Below are 11,441 nucleotides of genomic sequence, written 5' to 3'. Positions count from 1 at the left end.
GGAATCTCCATACTGTCTTCCACAATGGTTGAACTAATTTACATTCCCACCAACAGTGTAAAAGCGTTCCTATTTCTCCACAGCCTTGCCAGCATCTATTGTTTCTTGACTTTTTAATAATTGCCATTCTGACTGGCATGAGATGGTATCTCATTGCGGTTTTGATCTGCATTTCTCTAATGATCAGTGATGTTGAGCTTTTTTTCATATGCTTGTTGGCCATGTGAATGTCTTCTTTTGAGAAGTGTCTATTCATAACCTTTGGCCACTTTTTGATGCAGTTGTTTGTTTTTTCTTGTAAATTTGTTTAAGTTTCTTGTAAATTTTGGATATTAGACCTTTGTCAGATGGGTAGATTGCAAAAATTTTCTCCCATTCTGTAGGTTGCCTGTTTACTCTGATGATAGTTTCTTTTGCTGTGCAGAAGCTCTTCAGTTTAATTAGATACATTTGTCAATTTTGGCTTTTGTTGCCATTGCTTTTGGTGTTTTAGACATGAAATCCTTGCCCATGCCTATGTCCTGAATGGTATTGCCTAGGTTTTCTTCTAGGGTTTTTATGGTTTTGGGTTTTACATTTAAGTCTTTAATCCATCTTTTTTTTTTTTTTTTTGTATAAAAACGGCATATTCTTTATTTTACATTCTTTAATTTCAGAACAAAATGAAGAAAATAAAATAAACCACAATACACAACATCCAATCCTGCTGTCAAGAGTAGAGAGGGAATGGGGCTTGACACCCTTGGTTTCCTGCCTTCAACACAAGGACAGGAGAGGGAAAAAAACACTAGACACCAGCAGCCAGGTGGGACAGGGGCACTCGAGGCTGCAGTGGGAGCCATGGGGACACTATACAAGGGCACAAGTTTTCCAACTATGAACTCCTAATCGACTTCTTCCATGCGAGACGCATCCTCATCACCCTCAAGAGGGGGGATCTCATCAGGAACTGCATCACTGGGTTCCTCTGCTGCCACTTCATCTTCATCAGTACCTAGACCTAGCTTGATCATGTGGTAGATGTGGTTGGAGTGGGTCTGGGGATCCTCAAGGGAAAAGCCCGAAGATAGCAGGGCGGTTTCAAACAGCAGCACCACCAGGTCCTTAACTGCCTTATCATTCTTGTCGGCCTCAGCCTTCTGCCGCAGCGTCTCCATGATGGGGTGGTCGGGGTTGATCTCCAGGTGCTTTTTGGCCATCATATAGCCCATGGTGGAGTTGTCCCGAAGTGCCTGGGCTTTCATGATCTGCTCCATATTGGCTGTCCAGCCGTAGGTGCTGGTCACAATGCAGCAGGGTGAAGACACAAGTCTATTGGAGATTGTCACCTTCTCAACCTTCTTATCTAAGATTTCTTTCATGAGCTTGCAGAGGTTCTCAAACTTTTCCTTGCTTTCTTCCATCTTCTTCTTCTCCTCCTCATCCTCAGGTAGCTCCAGACCCTCCTTGGTAACTGAGACCAGGCTTTTCCCATCAAACTCCTTGAGCTGCTGCACACAGTACTCGTCAATGGGCTCAGTCATATATACCACCTCGAAGCCCTGTTTCCGCACTCGCTCCACAAAAGCAGAGTTGGCCACCTGCTCTTTGCTCTCACCAGTGATGTAATAGGTGGACTTCTGTGTCTCCTTCATGTGAGAAACATACTACGACAGAGATGTCATCTCATCTCCAGACTGGGAGGTGTGACAGCGCAGCAGCTCAGACAGGCGGTGGCGGTTAGTGGAGTCTTCGTGGATTCCAAGCTTGAGATTTTTAGAAAATGCCTCATAGAATTTCTTATAATCTCCTTGTCTTCTGCCAGCTCAGAGAAGAGCTCAAGGCACTTCTTAACAATGTTTTTGCGAATGACTTTCAAGATTTTGCTCTGCTGGAGCATTTCTCGGGAGATGTTCAGGGGCAGATCCTCAGAGTCAACCACACCATGGATAAAATTGAGATACTCTGGTATCAACTCATCACAGCTGTCCATGATGAACACACGGCGGACATACAGTTTGATGTTGTTCTTTTTCTTCTTGTTCTCAAAAAGGTCAAAGGGAGCCCGACGAGGACTGAATAGCAATGCCCTGAATTCCAACTGACCTTCTACAGAAAAGTGCTTGACTGCCAAGTGGTCTTCCCAGTCACTGGTGAGGCTCTTATAGAATTCTCCATACTCCTCTTGGGTGATGTCATCATGGTTTCTGGTCCAAATAGGCTTGGTCTTGTTTAGTTCTTCCTAGTCAATGTATTTCTCTTTGATCTTCTTAGTTTTCTTCTTCTTATCCTTACTGCTGTCATCCTCCTCATCTGAACCCACATCTTTGATCTTGGGCTTTTCTTCGTCATCTTTATCTTCCTCTTCTTTCTCACCTTTCTCTTCTTCTGCCTCATCATCACTAATTTCCTTGTCTTGTTCCTTCTCCAAATAAAGGGTGATGGGATAGCCTATGAACTGAGAATGCTTCTTCACTACTTCTTTGACCCGCCTCTCTTCTAAGTACTCTGTCTGATCTTCTTTAAGATGGAGGATCACTTTGGTACCCCTGCCAATGGGCTCACCATGATCAGCATGCACAGTGAAGGAACCTCCAGCAGAAGACTCCCAAGCATACTGTTCATCATCGTTGTGCTTTGTGATCACAACCAGTTTCTCTGCCACCAGGTAGGCAGAAAAAAGCCAACACCAAACTGCCCAATCATGGAGATGTCTGCACCAGCCTGAAGAGCCTCCATGCATGCTTTAGTACCAGACTTGGCAATGGTTCTCAAATTATTTATGAGATCAGCTTTGGTCATGCCAATGCCTGTGTCTACCAAAGCCAGGGTACGTTCCTGAGGGTTGGGGATGATGTCAATTTTCAGCTCTTTACCACTGTCCAACTTTGAAGGGTCTGTCAGGCTCTCATAGCGAATCTTGTCCAAGGCATCAGAAGCATTAGAGATCAACTCCTGAAGGAAAATCTCCTCGTTGGAATAGAAGGTATTGATGATGAGGGATATGAGTTGGGCAATTTCTGCCTGAAAGGCAAAAGTCTCCACCTCCTCCTCTCCATGGTGCACTTCCTCAGGCATCTTGAAAAGAAAAGGCTTACACGTACTGGAGAGCAATGTGAGCTTGCTTTCTGATACCCAGGCAGCACCAACGCTGTGCTGGAGTGACTTGAGAGCATCTTTAATCCATCTTGAGTTAATTTTTGTATAAGGTGTAAGGAAGGGGTCCAGTTTCAGTTTTCTGCATATGCCTAGCCAGTTTTCCCAGCATCATTTATTGAATAGGAGATCTTTTCCCTGTTGCTTGTTTTTGTCAGGTTTGTTGAAGATCAGATGGTTGTAGATGTGTGGCATTATTTCTGATGTCTCTGCTCCATTCTATTGGTCTTTGTCTGTTTTGGTGCCAGTACCACACTGTTTTGGTTACTGCATTATTGTAGTATAGTTTGAAGTCAGGTAGCATGATGTCTCCAGCTTTGTTCTTTTTGGTTAGGATTGTCTTGGCTATACATGACCTTCTTTGATTCCAAATGAAATTTAAAGTAATTCTTTTCTAATTCTGTGAAGAATGTCAGTGGTAGTTTGATGGGAATAGCATCAAATCTATAAATTACTTTGGGCAGCATGGTCATTTTCACAATATTCATTCTTCCTATCCATGAGGATGGAATGTTTTTCCATTTGTTTGTGTTCACTCTTATTTTATTGAGCAGTGGTTCATGTTTCTCCTTGAAGAGGTCCTTCACATCCCATCTTAGCTGTATTCTTAGGTATTTTATTTTCTTGGTAGTGATTGTGAATAGGAGTTTGTTCATGATTTGGCTCTCTGCTTGTTTATTGTTGGTGTGAGGAATGCTTTTGATTTTTGCACATTGATTTTGTATCCTGAGACTTTGCTGAAGTTGCTTATCAGCTTAAGGAGTTTTTGGGCTCAGATGGTGGGGTTTTCTAAATATAGGATCATGTCATCTGCAAACAGAGACAGTTTCACTTCCTCTCTTCCTATTTGAATACTCTTTATTTATCTTGCCTGATTGCCCTGGCCAGAACTTCCAATACTATGTTGAATAGGAGTGGTGAGAGAGGGCATCTGTGTCTTGTACCAGTTTTCAAAGGGAATGCTTCCAGCTTTTGCCAATTAAATATGATATTGGCTGTGGGTTTGTCATAGATAGTTCTTATTATTTTGAGATATGTTCCATCAATACCTAGTTTATTGAAAGTTTTTAACCTGAAGAGATGTTGAATTTTATCAAAGGCCTTTTCTGCATCTATTGAGAAAATCATGTGGTTTTTGTCTTTGCTTCTGTTTATGTGATGGATTACATTTATTGATTTGCATATATTGAACCAGCTTTGTATCCTAGGGATGCAGCTGACTTGATTGTGGTGGATAAGTTTTTTAATGTGCTGCTGGATTTGGTTTGCCAGTATTGTATTGAGGATTTTCACATCAATATTCATCAGGGATATTGGCCTTAAGTTTTCTTTTTTTTATTGTGTCTCTGGTAGGTTTTGGTATCAGGATGATGCTGGCTTCATAAAATGAGTTAGGGAGGAGTCCTTCCTTTTCAATTGTTTGGAATCATTTCAGGAGGAATGGTACCAGCTCTTTATACCACTGGTAGAATTCAGCTGTGAATCCATCTGGTCCTGTGCTTTTTATGGTTGGTAGGCTATTAATTACTGCCTCAATTTCAGAACTTGTTATTGATCTATTCAATAACAAGATTTATTCTATACTATAAACACCTCTATGCAAATGAACTAGAAAATCTAGAAGAAATGGATAAATTCCTGGACACATACAACCTCCCAAAACTAAACTATCGGGGGAACCCACCCCCGATAATTCAACATTATTTCACGTAGGTTCTTTTCTATTTCCCTAAGTGTCTGCCAGTCTGAGAAATAAAGGCAAAGAGCACAAAAGAGAGAAATTGTAAAGCTGGGTGTAAAATAATAATTCTTGTTATTGACTTCTTCCTGGTTTAGTGTTGCGGGAAGTCAGTGACCCCGAATGGAGGGACTGGCTGAAGCCATGGCAGAAGAACATAAATTGTGAAGATTTCATGGACATTTATTAGTTCCCCCAAATTAATACTTTTATAATTTCTTATGCCTGTCTTTACTGCAATCTCCCGAACATAAATTGTGAAGAGTTTATGGACATTTATCACTTCCCCAGTCAATACTCTTGTGATTTCCTATGCCTGTCTTTAATCTCTTAATCCCGTCATCTTTGTAAGCTGAGGATGTATGTCACTTCAGGACCCTGTGATGATTGCGTTAACTGCACAAATTGTTTAAACAATATGAAATCTGGGCACCTTGAAAAAAGAACAGGATAACAGCGATGTTCAGGGAACAAGGGCGATAACCATTAGGTCTGGCTGCCTGAGAGCTGGGCAGAACAGAACCATATTTCTCTTCTTTCAAAAGCAAATAGGAGAAATATCGCTGAATTCTTTTTTTCAGCAAAGAGAATGCCTTCCTAGGGGAAGGTCTCTGAAATGGCTGCTCTGGGAATGTCTGTCTTTTACGGTTGTAGGTAAGGGAAGAAATAAGCCCTGGTCTCCCATAGCGCTCCCAGGCTTATTAGGACGAGGAAATTCCTGCCTAATAAACTTTGGTGAGACCGGTTGTCCGCTCTCAAACCCTGTCTCCTGATAAGATGTTATCAATGACAATGCGTGCCCGAAACTTCATTAGTCATTTTAATTTCACCCGGGTCCTGTGACCTCACCCTGCCTCCATTTGCCTTGTAATATTTTATTACCTTCTGAAGCATGTGATCTCTGTGACCCAACACCCTATTTGTACACTCCCTCCCCTTTGAAAATCACTATTAAAAACTTGCTGGTTTTGTGGCTTGGGGGGCATCACGGAACCTGCCGACACATAATGTCTCCCCTGGACACCCAGCTTTACAATTTCTCTCTTTTGTGCTCTTTGCCTTTATTTCTCAGACCAGCAGACACTTAGGGAAATAGAAAAGAACCTACGTGAAATAACGTTGAATTATCGGGGGTGGGTTCCCCCGACAGTTTAGTTTTGGGAGGTTGTATGTGTCCAGGAATTTATCCATTTATTCTAGATTTTCTAGTTCATTTGCATAGAGGTGTTTATAGTATTCTCTGATGGTAGCTTGTATTTCTGTGGGATCAGTGGTGATATTCAATTTATCATTTTTTATTGTGTCTATTTGATTCTTCTCTCTTTTCTTCTTTATTAGCCTGGCTAGCGGTCTATCTATTTTGTTAATTTTTTCAAAAAAATCAGCTCCTGGATTCATTGCTTTTTTGGAGGGTTTTTATATCTCTATCTCCTTCAATTCTGCTCTGATCTTAGTTATTAATAATTTTTAATTTGATGGGATAAATTGTAAGTCAGGAGTTACACATGGGCAGAACAGGAAGGAAATGAAAACGTACTGAGTGACTGTTACATGTTACATGTTACAGTATTAGCTCATTTAATCCTGAGAACAGTACTGTAGGGAAAGAATTATTATGCCCATCTCACAGATAAGGAGTTACACAGACTTGGCCCTTCATTATTTTCAACTGTGTGATCCTAGGCAAGTGATTTAACCTTTTTAGCCCTCAGTTTCCTCATTGGCTAAAATGGAGACAGTAAAGTATGCAGGTCCTAGGGGTATTGTCTGGATTAAATTCAATAACAGACATTAAAGTTTTAGCCCAGCACCTGCCTTATGACAGTTTATACATACTGGCTTGCTATGTGCCAGGTACTGGCTGAGAAACTTAAATTTATCATCTCATTAAATCTTCACACAAATGTTATGGTAGGCACTCAATTGTTATGTTGTTCTTACAAGTAATAACAAGCTTTATTAATTATTTTACTGTGGCTCAGAGAGATTCTTACTCATCCAAGATCAATAAACTAACAAGTGGCAGAACTGATATTCCAATTTAGCTTTATTTGAGGGCAAAAGCCAGACACTTTTAAGAATATCTCACATTAGAAAATGATGGGAATACTCATAAATTACCTAAGCTATTTCATCTCCCTGTCTCTGATTTGGAGACCTATAAGAGAATAAGCCACTGCTAGGTACAGGATCACATTTTAAAAATCGTGACGTATTTAAAAAATGGAGAAAAATGAAAATGTGATGTGGATGGAAAGAATGTGTGTATGAAAACAATCAAGGTTGTAGCTGGAAGAGGGCCTACAATATCAGTGATACTTGAGCATCTATGATTGTGCCTAGTCTTTCAGTATGGCATTAAAATAAAGTGCATATTAACATGAGTGCATATGCCTGAGCATTGAGAATCTATGCAACATTATGTCTCATGTCTCATTAGACAGGAGACAAAGTGAGGCACATGAGAACATACAATCGCTTTACTAGTTTTAAATTCCACACCTAAGTTATAAACCAGATTTCTGCAACTACATGCATGTGACACAATTATAAATATATAGGCAGCATCTAATGTACTTTTATTAGGTACCCCTGTGAATAAATCCACTATTTTTGGATGGAGACTTCTGCTTAGGGTGGAGGCATGAGGAAGAGAAAGAGGAAGAGATGTTTGCTCAATTACCACTGGGTTCATTTTAGAATTTAGGATTTTATTTTCCTAATGTGGTTTGCAAATTTAGGGACAGATGTGAACTTTGCTAGACGAGATTTTGAAGACTATCTTGGAGAAGGATTGAGCCAGGAGAAGAAATATGAACTTGGCATCTGACAGGGAATTTGAAAGAAAATAGAAATGTTTAGTGTGTTTTATTATTATTGTTTTATTTTCTGTGTGGCATATGTGTTTCTGTCACCCATGAAATTGTCATCCAAATTTGCCTTTTGGGAGCTAATGCTTGAAAGAGTAATTGTTGTCTGTGTGTTTTTGTTTGGTTTGGTGGAAGGATAAAGAGGGCCCTACTTTAAGGTGGGGGAGAACACACTCACCTACGTATGACTACTTTTTCCAGCCTGCAAAAGCCATAGCCTTGAACCTGTTGTACTCTCAGTTTATAACTCTTTTCCGTAAATACTTATTTCTGTTTATACAAGACCTTTCCACCTCTGAGAATATGATACAATTTCCCTGAGCAGGTTAGTACAAGTTAGGCAAAGTGTTGGGTCAGAAAACAAGTGACAACAAAACGTGGCATTATGATGAACTTAAATTGACCCTGATTGGATCTGGTGTATGTGGCCTCTTGGAGTGAATTCTGTCTTCATTTGGTACATGGACTGAAAGTTTGTGGGGCCCTTGTACTGCCCATATCTTTTTTAATTGGGAATCTCTGTACTGGTAACTGGAAACAAGTTTTACTCCTTTTTGGTGATTCCTCCTGCAGACATCAATTAAACTTGACTATAGCACTAACTTGCTTAGTTAAAGCAAGAAGAAAATTCCTTTGCTCTTGTACTCTCTGCTGGGGCCTCTGGTGGATGCTGAATGCCCTGTTGACCTCTGACAAAATCTGCAGCTGGTGAATTTGTTACCTATTCTCCCGGTTGGGTCGGGCCCAGTGGTTCTCCTCTGCTGCCTTAACCCTACCTGGGGTTGCTGGCATTGTAGGCCCCTCACATCTCTGCCATGTCATCCATGCAGCCTTAATCCAGCCTGCCTGCTTTATGACGTCATTCACCATGGCTGTCCCTCAGCAAGATTTCCACCCCTCTGGTCAGCTCTCTTCTGTGCCTACTCTGGGGCACATTGGAGTTTCCGGATTTCTCTCTCGCACTTCAGAGCTTAGAGAGGAGAACAAGTGCTAATCTGACTGTCTGTCTGCCTAATCACAGCACACTACTGTGTCTCTGTTATATCCTGGGGAGCATCTTTTCGGATGTTATGTTTCCTTGTGAAGCTTGATCTCTTCTTGACTGTTCCCCGGAAAGCCAGGCAATTATTCCTTCTGCTCTAGGAAATGCCCAACCCTGTCATGAAATTTATCTGGGTTTTCTATCTCTTTGCCTCTTGGGCTCAAGTTCAGGGAAGTCTGACTGTACATTTCTGTCTTCATGTATCCTTGTTCCTCTCCCCCGAGCTTTCCTCCTTCCCTCCTTCCTCCACCTGCTACACGCAACTTCACATTTCATCTCCCTCACTCCAGCTTTATTCTTGGCTTTATTCCATGGTGTATGAGGAGACGGGTGGAAATAAAAGGATGTACTAACAAAAGAACATCAATTAGAAAACATTTAGCAAACGTAGTGTACTTATTTCATGTTCAAAGCACATGAGAGAACTGAAAGATAAGAAAGGACAAGTTCATCATTCTCACAGACCTTACGAAAGTCTAGTTGGAAGATGTGCCCAGCGAACACTAAGAAAGACAAATGAGGGTAGACCATACAATAGAAATGGGCAATATTTTGAGAGATTTGGAGAGGGAGATGCCTAATGGAGGGTGAGAGTGGAGAATTTTTGAGGGAAGAAAGGAGAAGTCATAGACAGCAGGTGGAGAGAAACGGGTTGGACAAGGCAGAAAGAAAGGCACGGTGACATGGTAGAATGACAGTGTAACCGTCTGTGCTGTGCAGTCACGTGTGGCAGGAAACACATCTGGAAGTCTGATCGGGTCTCAGGCTCTCTGGCCTCTGTATCGCCGTCTTATCAGAAGAGAAAATGTAGGCAAATCTTTACCAACCCGATCATACTTTCTCTGCTAATCTCTTATCTCTAAGTAAATTGTTTGCTTGTCCAATTAAAAATTCCCACCCCAAACTTGCATAGTTGGATAGTTAGAACCCTTCTCTTCTGACTCATGAGGGAGAGAGAAATTATAACTTAGTTTACTTTTATAGAGCTATTTGTGGGACTGTCTGGTTTGCCTGTGAATAATGGTTCTTTTCTTTCTTCGTTTCTCACCAGCCAGTGTGGTTTGTGATTTAATAGCCAGGCAGAACACTAAAATTAATACTTGGTAATATTTTAAGCCCAAATGAGGACAAGAGAGGGGGAAATTTTAAGTTATTAGTTTTTTTGTGTGGGAGCTTACTGTCTCCTTTGGAAAGCATTTAGGCCAGGCAGAACCTCACCATTAGTTTTTTGTTTTTGTTTTTTTCAAATGAGCGTGAAAAAGGAAATGTCCCTGTTCCTGCTTTATTTTTCCTTTAAACACAAATCAATTCCTAGATGAGAAGATAGGGTTTAAAACCCAGTTCCTGGCACAATGAAGTGATGGCTTGCAGAGATCAATTTACTTAAAAAAAAAAAAGATACAATTCTGCTTCTTTTGTGAGTAAAGTTTTTTTGTGTGTGTCAATGGAAGAGAGACATGTTCTTTTTGTGTGTGTGTAGGTATTGGGGAGTTCAGGTAAAGAAAGAGTGTAAAAAATAAGACTTACATAAGATACCTAAGCAGGTGCACTTTACCAGAATAAGATTTGTGGCCACCTTATTTTCCCTTTTTCTTTAATGCCTTTGAAGGAAGCTAATTTTTTTTTTCCTAAAAGAAAACAATTCTTCCTCTTGCAATAGTAGAACCAAGAAGAAATGGACACTTGACCACTCTTTGCTTTGGGGAGGAGCATTTATTTTTTCTAGCGTCTGCTAGGAAATATTCAGATAATACAGAATATGCATTTTGGAAAGATGTGGGCCTGCACATATTTCCCATTATTGCCTCTGATGATGTACTGTGTACAATCATGTTAATGGACTTGTCATAAAATTGAATAAATGATTGTAAGGAATATTTATTTTTTGTTATTTGTTTAGATTTGCTTTTCATTTCTACTGTTAAAATCCTTGATAGAATTTGGATCTGTGTCCCCACTCAAATATTATGTTGATTTGTAATCCCCAATGTTAGAGGGCCTGGTGGGAGGTTAACTGGATGATGGGGATGGATTTCCTTCCTGGTACTGTTGTTATGATAGTGAGTGAGTTTTTGTGAGATCTGGTTATTCAAAAGTGTGTTGCAGCCAGGCACGGTGGCTCACGACTGTAATCCCAGCACTTTGGGAGGCCAAGGCAGGTGGATCACCTGAGGTCAGGAGTTCGAGACCAGCCTGGCCAACATGGTGAAACCCCATCTCTACTAAAAATACAAAAATTAGCTGGGTATGGTGGCAGGCACCTGTAATCACAGCTACTCAGGAGGCTGAGGCAGGGGAATTGCTGGAACCTGGAAGGCGGAGGTTGCAGTGAGCCGAGATCATGCCATTGCACTCTGACACGGGCTGACAACAGGGTGACTCCATCTCCAAAAAAAAAAAAAAAAATTCGTGTTGCACCCCCCGCCTCAACCTCTGGGTTCTGCTCCTTTCATGTAAGAGGCCTGCTCCTGCTTTGCTTTCTGTCATGATTGTATGTTTCCTGAGACCTCCCCAGCCATGCTTCCTGTACAGCCTGCAGAACCATGAGCCAATTAAACCTCTTTTTCTTATAAATTACCCGGTCTCAGGTATTTCTTTATAGCAGTGTGAGAGCAAACTAATACAATCCTCCATCACTTAATATACGTTACTTGAT

General features: G+C 40.9%; 1 pseudogene, besides 1 other annotated feature; it reads right to left on the bottom strand.

Moving 5' to 3' along the window:
- Positions 612-3,152, bottom strand: HSP90AB3P (heat shock protein 90 alpha family class B member 3, pseudogene; annotated as a pseudogene).
- Positions 1,671-2,870: an enhancer, noted in NCBI's record as "BRD4-independent group 4 enhancer chr4:88813182-88814381 (GRCh37/hg19 assembly coordinates)". NCBI's record gives its function as "activates an origin of replication core promoter dependent on BRD2, P300/CBP, MED14 and CDK7 cofactors, and independent of BRD4, by STARR-seq in HCT116 cells {active_cell/tissue: HCT116}" and the evidence as "EXISTENCE:reporter gene assay evidence [ECO:0000049][PMID:35650434]".

Source organism: Homo sapiens, chromosome 4 (genome assembly GCF_000001405.40).
Source record: "Homo sapiens chromosome 4, GRCh38.p14 Primary Assembly".
Classification (NCBI taxonomy): domain Eukaryota; kingdom Metazoa; phylum Chordata; class Mammalia; order Primates; family Hominidae; genus Homo; species Homo sapiens.
Note: the sequence above shows the minus strand (reverse complement) of the source record. Positions and strands in the feature narration are given on the sequence as shown.